The sequence below is a fragment of the Homo sapiens genome, chromosome 14, assembly GCF_000001405.40.
Source record: "Homo sapiens chromosome 14, GRCh38.p14 Primary Assembly".
NCBI lineage: Eukaryota > Metazoa > Chordata > Mammalia > Primates > Hominidae > Homo > Homo sapiens.
The window spans coordinates 19,733,128-19,752,350 of NC_000014.9; the positions used below are offsets into that span (position 1 = coordinate 19,733,128).

Below are 19,223 nucleotides of genomic sequence, written 5' to 3' on the forward strand. Positions count from 1 at the left end.
TTCTGATTTTACATACTTATTATTCACTTCAACAGAAAATCTAGTTCACTGTTGAAACATACTTAAATAAGACCACAGTAATGCAGATTGTGGTGAGTGGTATTTAAGATGTTAATGGCTCATTATTATAGCAGTTGTTAAATAAAACAATAAATTTGTAGACAAATATTCATGTATAATAAAGTTACATTTGATAAATGAAAATTGTCTCTTATTTATATTTTATTAACATCTTTTCCAGTCCTGAAGATTTTCCTCAGAGAATCTTTCATCTCTTTGCTCCTGAGACTATATATTAGAGGATTACAGAGTGGTGTTATCACAGAATAGAACAAGGTAATGATTTTTTGCATTTTTACTGGGTGTGCTGATCCAGGACTAACATACATCACCATGATAGAGCCATAAAACAAGGTGACAACTGCCAAATGAGAGGCACAAGTGGAGAAAGCCTTTCGTTTGCCAGCCTCTGAAGGCATCTGTATTACAGCCAGAATCACCAGAGCATAGGAACAAAGGATAAAGAGAAAGGTGCCAATCATGAAGATAGAATTGAATGTGGAGTAAATGAGCTAGGTGATGATTATGTCTGCAGAACAGGACAGCATCACCAATGGTACAGGATCACAAACAAAATGGTTGATAATATTTGGGCCACAGTAGGATATCTGTGAAATGAGAATCAACAGAATTAGGAAGATTACAAAGACACATGACCATGCAAAGATGATAAGGCCAGTGCATACTTGCTTATTCATAATGCATGGATAACGTAGAGGGCGGCAGATGGCAAGATACCTGTCAAAGGCCATGATGCAAAGGAAGAAGCCCTCATCATACCCCAAAGATAAGAAGAAGTAGAACTGTGCAAAACAACTCATGAATGAGATGGACTTGCTTGTGGAGAGGAAGTTGGCCAGCAGTTTAGGAACAGTTGTAATAACATAACATATTTCCAGGAGAGAGAAATTTCCCAAGAGGGTGTACATGGGAGTGTGAAGGTGCTGGTCCCACCACACAGCACAGACAATGGATGCATTTCCCATCAGGGTGAGAGTATAGGCTAATGAGAAGAGACCAAAGTAGAGGAGCTGCATTTCTGGGCTTGAGGGAAAGCCCATGAGGATAAAGTAGCTAACAAAATTAATCGTTTCCATGCTGGACATATTCATTAGTCTGGAAGACATGGAGATGGCAGAGGTAATTGAAACATGAAATGGAGCATGCTGTTTCTTCTTGGAAACAACCAAAATTCTTTATCATGTATATTATAAAGTAGTAAACAGTTAGACTTTTGCTTAAACAACAATACTGTGACTTTCATGACTCAATTCCTACATATATTTATTTTGATAAATCACAACAATAGAAAGGAGGGAAAATATGAATTGTGGAGAGTTTTTTTTCTTGCTAAGAACACTAGACTTGAAACCAAGAATGCAAACTTTTGTGATTCCAATAAATTACCTATACACAATGAGTCTATTCTTTCTTCTGTTTACCTGCATTATTGATACTATATTTATCTGGGTATGTAATTCTTTCAACAGTACTATGAATACATGATTCATTATTATTTATTAGTGATATAAAAATAAAATACAAAACCAAGATATTTAAAAATACTCTTTCTCAATATAGTGCCATGCCAAGGCACAAATTCATATTTACTTTCAATTTCAGCTACTCCAGGTTACTTGTAGTGTTTTAAAGTGGAAATAAGAAAGAACTCTGTCATTAGAGGATATATGGTCTTTTATGCTGTTTCATGTATCTGTACCAATGTTTAGCATAAAAAATACATTCTTTTATTTTTAGGCAGCTGCATACACTATATGATATGAGGAAGTGTGCCATACTTTGTCTCTTAAATTGCTCTGACTAAATATTTTTATATGCTTCCGGGTGAATGTATGAACTTCATATGCCCATTATGACATTGACCTTAGGGAGAACAGCTGGTCTGCATGACTGTGGCCAAGTTCAATGTGCTTGTTATTTGTTAACCATGGTCAAGTCAGCTGCAGGAAAATAAGAAAGGCAGATAGAATTTATATTACAAAAGTTTCCATGTTTTTTATTCACTGCTTTCTTCCACATGTTCCTTTTCTTCCTTTGACCTTTGGTGTTATTTTGCATCTCACTGCGGTTGTTCTCTGAGGCCTTTCCTATCTAGGCAAATGTGAAACATGAAACTTTTCCCTTCATTACTCTCTGCTTAACTTCTAGCCCAAATAACAACAAAAACAAAAAAAAGTCATATGAGCTGAAGATTTTTGTTTCTTAAATAATAACTAATTTGTATAATACCAAGTCTTATTAATGTAATGGAACTGAAAATCAGTATTTGGGCTTGAGAAAGAAAATATTGCTGGAGAGAGAAATATGCCATATTTCTTCTGCTCACCAAATAACAAAAATTACCAAAATATACCCTTCTCCAGTAATTCATCAGTTAATGTACATCTTCACTTGAAATACTATTCTTTTTGTCTATATGGCGATTCATGTTTTAAAGGGATATGAACCATAATTGAAAAATATTTTCCAGAATTCAGGGAAACAAGAAGAAAAACTTATATTTTTCAGCTTCATTCTTTGCCAGCATTTCATTCTGAGATACATTTTTAGTTTTCTCAGAGACAAGAAAAAAACATTTTCTATGATTTTTGCAAAAAAACTGGGTGACTTACATGTTATATACTTCCCACTCACTCTTTGAGTGAATGCTGAGAAGGTCAGGGACAGGAGACAAAATATTATTCCACAGAGCCAAAGACATGTGAAGAACTTCCAAGAAATTGCATGATCCTGTTTGTTATCTCTCATGGGTTGCAAAAAGTAAACCCTAAAAGATTTTCCCCACCTTCAAAGCATATATTAATGGTCAAAATGCAAGCTCAAGTGAGTGTATTATATATATATCTATTTACTTGCATCATACCCTTTTGGGACTTGGAGCTCTGTCTCTCTTGGGATATTTTGATAGTGTTTGTTTAAAAGAAGATAACAATTTGAATTTTCACAGTCAAAAGCCAGTTCTTACTATCCCCTAAAGAATAGTGAAAATGTAGAAGCAGATCTTATCTTTTCTTTTTTCTTTCGTGTTCATGTATTGTCAAAGCTTCCTGAGGAATAATTAAGTAGTAAAAGGGATTGTCATTTAAGCTACAGTGGTAAGCTTTACCATAATACTCTCTAGATCTATTTTGAAGAAAAAGAAATCATTCTCTGGTCATCAAATATTTGTACCTGCAGAGTTATTAGAGATATTTGAGTTGAATTTTATGTAGAGCACAAGAAATTTAATTGGCATTTAGTTATTCCACAAATATTTACTGAATGCCTACTGTATACTTAAACATATACTATATATATTTTTAATTTTTTGAGGAACCTCCATATGGTTTTTCATAATGACTGTACAAATTTACATTACCACCAACAGTGTATAAACGTTCCCTTTTCTCTGCATTCTCACTAACTATTGCCATCTTTTGTCTGTTTGATCATGAACATTCCGATTGGGCTGAGGTGCTATCTCATTGTGGTTTGATTTGCATTTACCTGATGATCAGTGATGCTGAGGATTTTTTCATATGCTTTTTGGTCATTTGCACATCATATTTTAAAAAATATCTAGTCAGGTTTTTTGCCCACTTTTAAATTGAATTATTTGGTGGTTGTGTTGTTTTTTGCTATTGAGTTGCTTGAGTTCCTTATATATTTTGAATATTAACCCCTTATCAGATGTATAATTTGCAAAAATTTCCTCCTATTCTGTAGGTCATTTTTGGTTCTGTTGTTTCTTTTGAGCAGAAGCTTTTTATTTTTTTTCATTTTTTTTTCAAATACAATTTTATTTTTATTTTTTTTAGCTATTATTAACTTTTATGAACATGAATTCCAAAATTTTTATTTTATTTTTATTTATTTTTTTTTAATTTTTTTTTTAATTATACTTTAAGTTTTAGGGTACATGTGCACATTGTGCAGGTTAGTTACATATGTATACATGTGCCATGCTGGTGCGCTGCACCCACTAACGTGTCATCTAGCATTAGGTATATCTCCCAATGCTATCCCTCCCCCATCCCCCGACCCCACCACAGTCCCCAGAGTGTGATATTCCCCTTCCTGTGTCCATGTGATCTCATTGTTCAATTCCCACCTATGAGTGAGAATATGCGGTGTTTGGTTTTTTGTTCTTGCGATAGTTTACTGAGAATGATGGTTTCCAATTTCATCCATGTTGGTGGGACTGTAAACTAGTTCAACCATTGTGGAAGTCAGTGTGGCAATTCCTCAGGGATCTAGAACTAGAAATACCATTTGACCCAGCCATCCCAATACTGGGTATATACCCAAATGACTATAAATCATGCTGCTATAAAGACACATGCACACGTATGTTTATTGCGGCTCTATTCACAATAGCAAAGACTTGGAACCAACCCAAATGTCCAACAATGATAGACTGGATTAAGAAGCTTTTTATTTTGATGTAACCTCATTTGTCTATTTTTGTTTTTCTTGCCTTAGCTTTTGCCTACATCAATGTTGTGTAGTTTTTCCCTTATGTTTTCCTTTCTAGTAGTTTTACAGCTTTAGGTCTTATGTTTCAGTGTTTAAACTATTTTTAGTTGATTTTTTGTATATGGTATGAAGTAAGGGTATAAGTTCATTCTTCTGCATATAGATACCCAGTTTTCCCAATACCATTTGTTGAAAAGACTGTCCTTTCCCCATTGTGTGTTCTTGGCAGCTTCGTCAAAATATTAGGTGACTGTGTATCACCTGCGGATTTGTTTCTGGGCTCTGTATTCTATTCCATTGGTTTATGCATCTGTTTTTATGCCAGTATCATGCTGTTTTGGTTACTATAACTTTACAGTATACTTTGAGGTCAGGTAGTATGATGCCTCCAACTTTGTTCTTTTGGGTCAAGACTGCTTTGGCTATTCCAGGTCTTTTGTAGTTTCCATACGTATTTTAGGATTGTTTTTTCTATTTCTCTGAAGGATGTCATTGTTATTTTGATAAATCCATAGCTTGTTTTGGGTAGTGTGAACATTTTAACAATATTAATTATTTGAATCCACGAATGCAGGATTATCTTTCCATTTATTTCTGTCTTCAAATTTTTTCATAAATGTTTTATGGCTTCATTGTAGATATCTTCCACATCCTTGGTTAAATTAATTCTTAAGAATTATATTTTTTTATTTTGGAGCTATCATAAATAAGATTGTTATCTTGAATTCTTTTCAGACAGTTGATTATTACCACATAAAAGTGCTGCTGATTTTTGTATGCTGATTTTGTATTCTGCAACCTTACTGAATTCACTTATCACTTCTAAGAGTTGTCTTGATAATGTTTTTATGTTTTTCTCTATATAAGATCATGTCATCTGCAATGAGAAACAATTTGACTTCTTCTTTCCCAATTCAAATGCCTTTTATTTCTTTCTCTTGCTGATTCTCTGGCCAAAACTTCCAGTACTATATTAAATAGGTGTTGTGAAAGTGAGAATCCTTGTCTTTTTTCAGTTCTTAGAAGAAGGATTTTCTGTTTGTCGTATGTCAGTATGATTTTCACTGTGAGTTTCTGATATATGGCCTTTATTATGTTGAGGTATGCTCCTTCTATGCCTAAATGTGTTTAATTTTTATCATGAAGCAATGATAAATTTTATCAGATGCTTTTTTTTTGCATCTATTGAAATGATCATATACTTTTTGTCTTTTATTCTATTAGTGTAATGTATCAAACTTTTTGATTCATTTATACTGAATAACCCTTGAATTCCTGGAATAAAACCCACTTGGGTGTGGCAAACTGTCTTTTTAATGTGTTGTTGGATTCAGTTTGCTAGTATTTTGTTAAGAATTTTTGCATCTATGATCATGTTATTGCCTTGTAATTTCTCTTTCCTTCCTTCCTTCCTTCCTTCCTTCCTTCCTTCCTTCCTTCCTTTCTTTCTTTCTTTCATTTCTTTTTTCTTTCTTTCTTTTCTTTTTTCTTTCTTTCTTTCTCTCTCTCTTTCCCTTCCCTTCTTTTCTTTCTTTCTTTCTTTTTCTTTCTTTCTTTCTTTCTTTCTTTCTTTTTTTCTGACAGAGTTTCACTCTTGTTGCTCAAGCTGGAGTGCAATGGTGCCATCTCAGCTCATTGCAACCTCCGCCTCCTGGGTTCAAGTGATTCTTCTGCCTCAGCCTCCCAAGTAGCTGAGATTACAGGTGCCCACCACCATGCCCAGCTATTTTTTTTTTTGTATTATTAGTAGAGACAGTGTTTCATCATGTTGACCAGGCTGGTCTTGAACTCCTGACCTCAGTTGATCCACCTGCCTCGGCCTCCCAAAGTGCTGACATTACAGGTGTGAGCCACCATGCCTGGCCTTTTCTTTTTTTTAAATTTATGTTAAACTTTGGTATGTATGTGGTAGGTGCATATATTTATTGAGTACATGAGATACTTAGATACAGGCATGCCATGCATAATAATCACATAATGGTAAATGGGGTATCCATTCCCCTCAAGCATTTTTATCCTTTGGGTTACAAGCAATTCAATTACATTCTTTTAGTTACTTTAAAATGTACAATTAAATTATGATTGACAATAGTCATCCTCTTGTGCTATTAAATACTAGATTTTATTCATTCTTTCTAACTACTTTTTGTGCCCATTAACCATCCCTACCTGCCCTCCCATCCCCCTAACCACTATCTTTCTCAGTTTCTGGTAACTTTCCTTCTACTCTATATCTCCATGAGTTCAATTGTTTTAATTTTTAGCTCCCACAAATAAATGACAACATACAAAGTAGGATTTATCCCAGGGAGGCAAGAATGGTTCAGTATATGCAAATCAATCAATATGATAAACAATCAACAGTATGAAGCAGAATAACCATATGATCATTTCAACTGATGCTGAAAAATTTGATAAAGTTCAACATCCATTCATCATAAAAATTCTAAAAAACTGGGTATAGAAGGAGCAAACTGCAACATAATAAAAGCCATATATGACAGACCCACAGATAGAATTTTGATGAATGGAGAGAAACTGAAAACCTTTAAAATCTGGAGCACAACAAGAATGCCAACTTTTACCACTTTATTGACTATAGTACTAGAAGTCCTAGCTAAAGCAGTCAGACAAGAGAAAGAAATAAAAGGCATCCAAATTGGAAAGGAAGAAGTCAAATTATCCTTGTTTGCAGATGATGTGATCTTATATTAGGAAAGACCTAAAAACTCCACCAAAACACTATTAGAACTGATAAACAAATTTAGTAAAGTTGCAGGTTACAAAATCAACATATAAAAGTCAGTAGCATCTCCATATGTCAACAGTGAACTGTCTGAAAAACAAATCAAGAAAGTAATCCCATTTACGATAGCTACAAATAAAATTAAATACCTAGGAATTAACCAAAAAAGTGAAAATCACTACAATGAAAACTATAAAACATTGATGAAAGAAACTAAAGAAGACACAAAGAAATGGAAAGATATTCCATGTTCATGAATTGAAACAGTCATTGTTAAAATGTTATGCTACCAAAAGCAATCTACAGATTCAATCTCTATCAAAATACCAATGCCATTCTTCACAGAAATAGAAAAATCAATCCTAAAATTGATATAACCAAATGACCCAGAATACCCAGAGCTATCCTGAACAAATAAACCAAAACTGGATGAATCACATTACCTGACTTTAAACTACACTATAAAGCTATGGTAACCAAAAGAACATGGTACTGGCATAAAAAACAGACCCATAGGTCAATGGAACAGAATACAGAACCCAGAAGCAAATCCGTATATCAATAGTGAACTCATTTTCTACAAAAGTGCCAAGAACATACATTGGGGAAAGAACAGTCTCTTCAATAAATGGTGCTGGGAAAACTGGATATCCATATGCAGAAGAATGAAACAAGACCCCTATCTCTTGGCATATACAAAAATCAAATTAAAATGGATTAAAGGTTTAAATCTAAGACCTCAAAAAATTAAACTACTAAAAGGAAACATTGGGGGAAACTCTCTTAGACATTGGTCTGGGCAAAGATTTCTTGAGCAATACTCCACGAACACAGGCCACCAAAGCAAAAACGGACAAGTGGGATCACATCCAGTTAAAAAGCTTCTGCACATCCAAGGAAAAACAATCAACAATGTGAAGATTCAACCCACAGAATGGGAGAAAATATTTGCAAACTGCCCATCTGACGAGGGATTAATAACCAGGAAACAACTCTATAGGAAAACAACCTAATAATCTAATTTAAAAATGGGCAAAGGATCAGAATAGCGATTTCTCAAAAGACAATACAAATAGCAAACAGATATATAAAAAGGTGCTCAACACATTGATCATCAGAGAAATGTACCTCACAGCTACAATGAGATATCATCTCACCCCATTTAAAATGGCTTTTATCCAAACACAGGCAATAACAAATGCTGGTGAGGAAGAGGAGAAGAGGGAACTCTCATACTTTGTTGGTGGGAATGTGAATTAGTACAACCACTATGGAAAACAGTTTGGAGATTCCCCCAAAAACTAAATGTAGAGCTACTTTATGATCCTGCAACCTCATTGCCAGACGTAGACCCAAAAGAAAAAATAGCGGTATAACAAAGAGTTATCTGCATTCTCATGTTTGTTTTAGCTTTGTTCACAATAGCCAAGATTTGGAAACAACCTAAGTTTCCATCAATAGATGAATGAATAATGAAAATGTGGTACATACATATACAATAGAGTACTATTCAGCCATAAAAAGAATGAGATCATTTGCAACAACATGGACGGAAATGGGGATTACTGTGTTAAGTGAAATAAGCCAGGCACAGATAGACAAACTTCCCATATTCTCACTTATTTGTGGGAACTGAAAATTAAAACGATCGAATCATGCAGATAAAGAGTAGAATGATGGTTACCAAAAACTGAGAAGGATGGTGGAGGTGTGGTATGGGGAAAAATGGGGATAGTTATGGGTAAAAAAAAAAAAAGAATAAATAATATTTAGTATTTGATAGCACAACAGGGTGAATATAGTCAATAATGATTTAATTGTCATTTAAAAATAACCAAAAGAATATAATTGGATTGTTTGTAACACAAAAGATAAATGCTTGAGGGGACGAATACCCCATTTACCATGATGTGATTATTATGTATTATATGCCTGTACCCAAATATCTCATACTCTATAAATATATACACCCACTATGTACCCACAGAAATAAAAAATAACAAAACAAAAAAAATTGTTTAGCAAGCCCAGCTAAGGGTCATCTGACTCTCTAGCAAATGTGATTTTGTTTAACTTACTATATATGAATTATGGAATCTCAGACATTGTATAATTACATATAGCTAGATGTTATAGAAAACTGCTACATTGTATCTTTTTAGCGTGGTAGAAAAGATAATCCCAAAGATTAAGGTCGTATTGCCCCTTTTTAGAGCTGTATGAAAGAATATGAATATTTTTGTGATGTTGATATTTTTTAACTTTTAAGTTCAGAGGTACACATGCAGGTTTGTTATATAGGTAAATCTGTGTCATGAGACATTAACTGGATTACATCAAATTTAACAATTTTATTTTAGTGTTCATTTTTTGCTCTGATTATGTAAAATCACACTTTTCATATTCTTTTTGGAATGGACTTTGTTATCTTGCTATCCCTCATTAATTAGTTAAATACAGTTTTTGATGCATTCATTATGTATTTGTTTGAGAATTATGTTTTATGATATTTAAAAAATAGACTTTGACAGTCTATAGAAAATTAAATTACTAATGACAACAGATGTGTTTTCTGGATACGATCCATGAATAAATGCCAGTAGGTAAGCTGCTTGAGGTTTCAAGAAATCAGGTGTTGTATCAAGACTCTATATTACCTTAAAGGATAAATACCAAGCTATCCCTGGAATTATCCCAGAGATAAATACCTTAGCTTGGTATTTATCCTTCAGCTTCTGCTACTTCAAGGAGCATGATTGAGATAAAAACCAGTGAGAGTCTTCTTCAGATACAGACTGAGGCATGGAAAATGGATGGCATATACAAATAAATCAATGACAAATTACAAATTAATCAATCCAAAGTAAGTAAAATAAGTGGGTTCTGATATGCAACATGTCTAATTGCTTCAGAGCCTGCAGGTCCAAAGGTCAACTTCCTAGCAAGAACTAAATTTAACACAACTCAAACAGCAGCAGCCTAGGGAATCCCAGGGCTCATTAAGCTAAGTAGTGTTGTAAGAACCACAGAAACCTGATACAGCTAGAGTCCTAGGGATAGGAGATATTTCCAGTTCATACAGCCAGCCCTCAACTAGGGCTTGGCTTATAAGGAAGCAGTTAAGACATGTGCTGGGCAGCTGCGATGATCATCTGAGGATAGCCCATTTTGCTGGCCTGAGGCTGAAGAGAGGGTTGATAGGATGAATGGCAGGATAAAATCTTCCTTCCTTGAAACCACATAGCTTCTGACAAGCAAAGATGTAGGTTTCTCAGATATGTTTATTCAAAACTCCCCTCCCCTTCCTGCTCCTCTGTTTGATGCTATTTTTATGTTTACTGTTGTCCTCACTCTTTTTCTCTATATACTCTGGCATTGATCATTTTTAAATTTAAGAGATCATTTGAGTTTTTTGTTTTAAATTTACTCTTAGAAACATTCACAGAACAGTGAAATTCCTATAGCATCAAGGAATTCTAGGGCTAGTGGCATCTTAGAAGACAGTTGCAATATTTGGATAAGATAGGCCCAAATTCACATAATGGAAGGCATGGGTTTCATGGCAATATTTTCTTAAGACTACCTAATTCTGCTATAGTCCCTTCTAGATTCTGTTTTCCATTTCTTTAATTATTAAAGTTTCTTTTTACTAAAATCCTCTTTATGTTCCACAGGTACAATATAGAATGCAATGTTTCAAACAAGGCCAAAGAAGTTTAGAGCAGAAAGATTGTTTCTTTCTCAATAGAGAATACCACTGTAGGTACCATCTTCAACTAATGGTGTGTCCACTTCTTGGTTTTCAGGAGAAATTTAAAAATGCATCAAATGTGTCTAAAAGGAATTCATATGCAATTGAAACTCCAGCTAGCCAATCATTTTCTATTGTTGAGGTAGTCAAATTTCCTCCTCTAATAATGCATTTAGCTCCACACAGACCAAAATAAATACAAGACAAACATAATAGCAAAATATGGTATACTGTTATGCTTAAAACACACACATGCACAAGTACCAGGAGAAAAATTTTACTCCTTTTCTTCATATTTTCCTCATAAACATCTCCGGTTCCCTGTTTAGAAAGAAGAGAGACCAGCTGCTTAGCTGTACACAAGTAGCCTTTGATATTTAAGGTGTTTTGGTTTGTCCTCTTCTCTCCAAGCAGGACCCTTCCATGAAGACTTTCATTTTGCATTAAGCATTCTCAATTTTTTTGGCTCATTTTGTGTACTTAAAAATATTTTTATTGACTTTTTCACATTCTTAGGTTATTTTTAGGATATGAAACATGAAATGCTTGATAAGGTCTCATCTTACTGCTAATGGGATAATGAAGCTGGTGTTTTTGAATGTGGCTTTCCAAGCCCTGCAGGGCTTTGGCAAGGGAAATTATGTTGTGACTGGGGTTAGTTTTGGGGTGTAGACATTCCTTCATGTTGATGGGTGTATTGTTCTTTTCATTCTTCACGGAACAGTCACAGGCTTAATTTCTTATTGTGATCAGACTTCAGAAACACAGAAGCTGGGAGATGACTCTACCAAATGTGGAAATGTTACTAAACCTAAAAGGGAGCTTTCTATATTGTTTAGTATTATGTTTCATATTGTCTGAGGATTGCAAATTTATTGTCATTAAAAAAATCCAAGAATAACCAGAATCCAGCCCTTACCTTGATTAAAACTCAAATAACTGACATACAGGGCTGCCTATTTTTATCTTATGTGATTGTAAAGATTTTTATATCATTATTAATCCAAATCTTATCAGAGTAATCACCTAGGAACTGTCCAGAATATTTATAGTACTGAAATTTCCTAATATTAAATCTTACTTTAAACAAGTAGGCAATAAACTCAGGCTTATAAATAGTTTGTAGTAATTTGGGTTAAAATATATTTTACATATTCTTCCCTTATTTAATCTATCCTTCTGATTTATTTAATTTTAATATTGTCTGTTTTAGTATAATCTTTTCTTTCTCAGCATATGTTCGGTGGAAAAAACAAGTGTACCATACACCTTTGGTATACTATGCCTTCACATTAGGAAATAATCACTTTGTTTCTCAGCCATATTCTGAGACTAAATTATAACATTGTGTAGGATTATGTGTTCCCATTGTTTTCTGGCTTCTAGAAACCTTTTTTAATTAAAAAAATAACTTTGGTTTCTCTTTCTCAGACTTTTCCAGTTTTCCCAAGATTATTTTAAAAATTAGATCAATAATTTTAATGAGACTTGACCCCTGTTAATTATACATTTTAGATAACTGAAAAGAACATCAAAATGAGATTTTCTTATGGAAATTTACAATCCTTGGTGCATCCAAAAAAGATTAGAGAATTTTCAATATAGCAGAGCTCAAGTGAGGCTGTACATGTAACAGCAAATCGTTCCCTAACTTGTATTTCTTTCTTTGTTTTATTTTCCAATTGACTCTAGAAAGTGAGGTGATTCCTTCTATCAGTTATGAGATTATAGATTTAGATACACCTGTGCACTCGGCTATATAGGCAGATGAAGAGGATGGTCACAATCATGGTGTGACAGAGGCATCCAAAGGTGGCTTGAGTCCCAAATCTCTCTCTCACTGGCTTATCTTGGAATAACATCCTAGAGAAAGTTTTGTTGTCATTAGAGGTTTTCATTTTTAGAATTTAAGTACTTTTCTGCATTGTCTATGTAAATACCTGATATCTAGTATGAAGGATTTTATTGGATAACATTCTCTGAATGACTTGATAGAACCCAGTGCAACATGGATTACAAAGCTTGGGACACAAAATAAAATTTTGTCTTATTTCATATTTTGTCTATAGCTGGTTTTAGATAAAAAAATATTCTAGACAGGCATCTACTAATTTTTAACTACTTCAATGGAAGAAATGTATCAATGTTCTCTGATTTTCTGTTTGTAATCCAAGGTACTGTCATCAAATGTTGGGGATGAATATGAGTGTAGAGCAGGGGAAAATGGATCTAACAATATCTTAGCAAATCTTCTTTATTTTCTTATGTATCTATGGTTGTTGAAAAGTCCAGAAGCAACACAACTCTGGTTTCTCTTATTACTCTGTCCTGTAAAGGGTCATGGTGGGCTTTTGTGCATGCCTCCGTGATATGGGTCATGGCTCTTGGTCTCTTCTCTTGGTGATTAGTGTCTTTTAATCATTATCCTACTCATCCCGAGTCTGACGCTTCCCTAAATCTTAAAGATTGAGACTATTGCTTCTTACCTCATTTTTACAAACTTCCTAATTTCTGTGACCTGGGATAGTAAAGACAAAAAATATGAGCTCTGTTTCAATCCTTCCTAAATGATTTGTTTCCTAATATATTTATTCATAGTAACTACTAACCTTTGTACAACATAGCAATTTGTTGTTTACAAAACATTCTTCCTTCGATTTGATAAATTATTGAGCTTCTGCTATGCAGTAAGTATTGTGTTGCGGATACAAAGATGAGTAAGATATTTCCTCATCTTGAGAGATTTAGTTTTTTTTATGGTGCACATAGGCATTACATTTGATTCTCAAAACAATCTTGGGAGATATTATTAACTGTGCATTAAATTGAATAACCAAGGAATAAAATTCAGAGAGGTTTATTTTCTTGCCTGAGAGTACTCCATTGATAATGGTGGAGCTAGGCATTCAATCTAGATACTCCATTCCAGAACTTTTGTCCTTAGAGGACATTATTCTGTCTATTAAAAGAAATGGAAAGATTAGCACTTATCACCTAATGTCCACGTCATTGTGTTTCTTTCTTGTTTATTGTGAATGCAATTTAAAAGCACTACAGGAATAAAGAGTTGGAAGAAATGAACAAAATTCCTCATTCTATCAATATAAGAGTGTACTGCCTATATTACCCGATAAAACTTGCTAAAATAATTTTTATGTAATTTATATATTATATACTATATGTATATAGTGTACACATATATATCTACCTTAAATCTCCCTTGTTCTGATTTAATTCTTCTTTAGGTCACTTGATATTCTTGGCTTGATGAAAAAAGAACAAGATTCTAATGTGACAGAATTTGTTCTTCTGGGCCTATCATCTTCTTGGGAGCTGCAGCTATTTCTCTTCTTACTATTTTTGTTTTTTTACATTGCTATTGTCCTGGGAAACCTCTTGATAGTGGTAACAGTGCAAGCCCATGCTCACCTGCTCCAATCTCCTATGTATTATTTTTTAGGTCATCTCTCTTTCATTGACCTATGCCTGAGCTGTGTTACTGTGCCAAAGATGTTAGGGGATTTCCTACAGCAGGGCAAGAGCATCTCTTTTTCAGGATGCCTGGCCCAGATCTACTTCCTCCACTTTCTAGGAGCCAGTGAGATGTTTTTGCTGACAGTCATGGCCTATGACAGGTATGTTGCCATCTGTAACCCTTTGCGCTACCTTACAGTCATGAACCCCCAGCTATGCCTTTGGTTGGTTCTTGCCTGCTGGTGTGGGGGTTTTATCCACTCTATCATGCAGGTCATACTAGTCATCCAGCTGCCTTTCTGTGGGCCCAATGAACTGGACAACTTCTACTGTGATGTCCCACAAGTCATCAAGCTGGCCTGCATGGACACCTATGTGGTAGAGGTGCTGGTGATAGCCAACAGTGGTCTGCTGTCTCTTGTCTGCTTCTTGGTCTTACTATTCTCTTATGCTATCATCCTGATCACCCTGAGAACACACTTCTGCCAGGGCCAGAACAAGGTCTTCTCTACCTGTGCTTCTCACCTGACAGTGGTCAGCCTGATCTTCGTGCCATGCGTATTCATCTATTTGAGGCCTTTCTGCAGCTTCTCTGTGGATAAGATATTCTCCTTGTTTTACACAGTGATTACACCTATGTTGAACCCCCTCATCTACACACTCAGAAATACTGATATGAAGACAGCTATGAAGAAGCTGAGGATAAAACCATGTGGCATTCCATTGCCTTGTTAAGGAATGAGCAGAAGAGGTGATTTGAAAAACACACTCTTTCTTGGAAGACTCTTAACTCATCTTGTACATGGGTAAAAACCACTTTGATGACGTTGGTATAAAAGAGGAGATAGCATAAAGATTATAATGGATCACTCTTGATTACAATTTAAAAGCATAGGTGGCACTCTAGAAAGCCACCTATGCCTTTTGACCATAATCAAGAGAACTCAGGAACTCAGTAGAATTTACTGGCCACAAACGATAACAAGCATTAATTGAAAGATCAACTTTTCTATCTTTATGTCTCTAAGTACTGTTCATTTATTCAATTTTTTCCACTTTTTAATCTATTCAAATGAAAGAAGATATATCTCTTTTTGTGTTCAGTTCCTCCAGCATTTAATGATTCCTAGTGTTAGGAAGTTCCTTCTGATGTCTCATCAGATCCTTTTCTGAAGTAGTGTGAATTTCTTTGTTCTGTTATAACAAAGCCTGAGAACAGTAACAACCACCTATGTGTAGTATTTACCTCAGAACTGTGTTCCACAGTGTCCCAAGTTTTAGAAATGTAGTCAGGCATCAGTCTAATGAACATATGCTCTTAACAAAGTTTATGCGTGAGAGAAAGGAAGTCCAGGAGTGCAGGGGTGATGGAAGCTGTTAGTATTCTGTTGTAGAGGCTTCTCAAGAAGAGGTACCTAGTTTCACACTGAGTTTTTCTTTGATTGGAATTACAGTGGGGGTGAATAGATAAGCTGGCTCTTCAACTGACCATAATGTTTAAGAGTTTTAACCTCTAAAGGAACAGAGGAAGAAATGAACTGTGATTGAAAGCACTCATTTTTGAGATGCTCACAGTTATTACCTCTGAGTCTCAAACATGCTTTGAGGAATAAATTTACTTAACTTCATTTTTGAGAATGAACTCAGAGTTAAGTGACTTGCCCATGACCACTTAGAAGAAATGCAATCAATCAAGAAAGCTCTTTGTAATCCCAGCACTTTGGGAGGCCAGGGCAGGCAGATCATCTGAAGTCAGGAGTTTGAGACCAGCTTGAGCAATATGGAGAAACCCCGTCTCTACTAAAAATACAAAATTAGCCGGACGTGGTGTTGCATGCCTGTAATCCCAGCTACTCAGGAAGGCTGAGGCAGGAGAATCACTTGAACCCAGGAGGCACAGGTTGCAGTGAGCTGACATCGCACCACTGCACTCCAGCCTGGGCAACAAAAGCAAAACTCGGTCTCAAAGCAAAAAAAAAAAAAAAAAAAAAAAAAAAAAAGAAAGCAAGCTAATAATTATATAATTAAGTTAATATTTTATTTCTCCTCAGAAAGAGTATTTATCCCAATTATACAGATTGCTTCTTTCTTTCTTTTTCTTTCTTTCTCTCTCTCTTTCTTCTTTCTCTCTTTTTCTCTTTTTCTTTCTCTTTCTTTCTTTCTCTCTCTTTCTCTCTATTTCTTAGAGTATTTATCCCAATTATACAGATTACTTCTTTCTTTCTTTCTTTCTTTCTTTCTTTCTTTCTTTCTTTCTTTCTTTCTTTCTTTCTTTTTTCTTTCTTTCTTTCTCTCTCTCTTTCTTCTTTTTTCTCTTTTTCTTTCTCTCTCTTTCTCTCTTTCTTTCTTTCTTCTTCTTTTTTTTTTGAGACAGAGTCTCACTCTTGTCTCCCAGGCTGGAGTGCAGTGGCACAATCTTGGCTCACTGCAACCTCCGCCTCCCAGGTTCAAGTGATCCTCTTGCCTCAGCCTCCCAAGTAGCTGGGATTACAGGTGCTGGCCACCATGCCTGGCTAATTTTTGTATTTTTAGTAAAGACGGGGTTTCTCCATGTTGGCCAGACTGGTCTTGAACTCCTGACCTCAGGTGATCTGCCTGCCTCAGCCTCTCAAAGTGCTGGGATTACAGGCATGAGCCACGACACCCGGCCAGATTACTTAATTTCTATAATACCTGTATAGGAGCTTCAGAGCTGGAAAATCCCTAAAAAGGTTAACTTAAGCATTTATATTTAAGATTATCCATCTCTGACATAGGATCCTTGCAATATTTTATGGCTATGAAAATGTGTTTATTCTATTTACTATATAATAAGATAATGACAAACTTTTACAATGTTTTTTATATTTTGTCACTTTATCTCCTAATGAATTGCCATAGAGAGGCTTTTATGATTACTTAGCTGAAAAATATACCTGTGAAAAAAATGTCTGAAACTCCATCTAATACTAGGATATACTGGAAAATTGCAATAACCCTGGTCGTGTAAGAGCTTTCTTGATATAGGGACAAAATATGTATTTTTATTTTTGTGTTGGGAGTTAATGACTTTATATTTAAGAAGCCATATATATGTATGTGTATATGTATATATTGCTATAGAAGGACTCCTCACAGACTAGGAACTAGGCTGCCATTTGGGAGATTTCTAAATAGTGTGGGTGAGGGTGAGAATGACATACCTGGAACATCATGTTCTTCTCTTTAGCTTCACTCTACTCAACATTTTCAGGGTTTTTTGCATACGATGAATATCCTGAAGAGCAGTATGATATCCCGAAGATAATATGTTGGATATCCTGAAGTGCAGGAAACTGCCCAAGAGTACTGCGTGAGTTACAGAAAGATTTGAGTGGTGCTAGGGATTACCAGGCATGTTTCAAGGACATAGAGCTCCAGGCTTTCTCTTGGTATAAGCCAGCTGCAACATCCCTTTTTTCTGATGTTCTCTTTCATAGCAAAATGTATAGTCTTGGCAAATCATTTTAAATGTCCAGTTGATAGCTGGAATTGGTAGCATTATTTTAAGAAAAGCAAGAGCTTTTTATATTCCCTTTTGCATTTTCAAGTCTCTGTTTGTTTCCAGGAACAAAGCCTACTTGATCGTGGTGAATTAACTTATTGATGTGCCGCTGAATTTGGTTTGCTAGTATTGTGTTGAGGATTTTTGCATCTATGTTCATCAGGATATTGGCCTGATGTTTTCTTTCTTTGTTTTGTCTCTGCCAGATTTTGGTATTAAGCTGATGCTAGCTTCATAGAATGAGTTAGGGAGGAGCCCTTCCTTTTTTATTTTTTTGGGAATAGTTTCAGTAGGATTGGTACCATTTCTTCTTTATATGTCTGGTAGAATTCAACTGTGAATCCCTCTGGTCCTGGGCTTTTTTTGGTTAGTAGAGTTTTTTTTTTTTAAATTACTGATTCAATTTCAGAGCTTGATATTGACTTATTAAGGATTACAATCTCTTCCTAATTCAATCTTAGAAGATTGTGTTGTTCCAGGAATTTATCAGTTTCTTCCAGATTTTCTAATTTGTGTGCATAGAGTTGTTCATAGTATTCTCTGAGGATCTTTCGTATTTCTGTGGGATCAGTTGTAATGTCATTTTTGTCCTTTTTGACTGTACTCATTTGGATCTTTTTTTTTATTTTTTAATCTAACTAGCAGTCTAACAATCTTATTTTTTCAAAAGACTAACTCTTGGTTTCATTGACCTTTTGTATAGATTTTTGCACCTCAATTTCATTAAGTTGTTCTCTAATTTTTGTTATTTCTTTTCTTCTGCTAGCTCTGGAGTTGGTTTGTCCTTTGGTTTCTAATTCCTTGAGGTGCAAAGTGCAGGAAGATGAAGCTAGACCCTTGCTTTTCAGCATATAAGAAAATTAACAGGATAGATTAAAGATTTAAATATAAGACCACAAACTATGAAAATCCTAGACCAAAATCTAGGACATATTTTTCTTGACATTGGCCTTGGGAAAAAAATTAGCTAAGTCCCCCAAAGAAATTGCAACAAAACCAAAAATTGACAAGTGGGACCTAGGTAAATGAAAGTGCTTCTGTACAGAAAAAGAAACTATCAAGAGGGGAAACAGACAACTTACCGAATGGGAGAAAATATTTGCAAACTATGCATCTGACAAAGGTCTAATATCCCAAATGTAAATAGAACTTAAATAATACAACAGACAAAAAACAAATAGCCTTATTAATAA

At 34.9% G+C, this 19,223-nt stretch overlaps 1 protein-coding gene and 1 pseudogene across 3 annotated transcripts; one reads left to right on the top strand and one right to left on the bottom strand.

The window, feature by feature from the left end:
* Positions 218-1,165, bottom strand: OR11K2P (olfactory receptor family 11 subfamily K member 2 pseudogene; annotated as a pseudogene).
* Positions 10,444-19,207, top strand: OR4Q3 (olfactory receptor family 4 subfamily Q member 3; the record flags this gene model as incomplete). Of its 3 annotated transcripts, XM_024449618.1 has the most annotated exons (4): positions 11,613-11,687; positions 13,208-13,299; positions 14,279-15,209; positions 19,199-19,207. In XM_024449618.1, coding segments are annotated over exons 1-4 (1,107 nt in total), but the record flags the coding sequence as incomplete, so codon positions are not given. The 3 variants fall into 3 exon arrangements, with proteins under 3 accessions (NP_001392892.1, XP_024305386.1, NP_751944.1); NM_001405963.1 differs by lacking the exons at positions 11,613-11,687; positions 13,208-13,299; positions 19,199-19,207 and adding an exon at positions 10,444-10,544 and having other exon boundaries at positions 14,279-16,342; NM_172194.1 differs by lacking the exons at positions 11,613-11,687; positions 13,208-13,299; positions 19,199-19,207 and having other exon boundaries at positions 14,301-15,242.
* Positions 19,208-19,223: the final 16 nt, after the last annotated feature.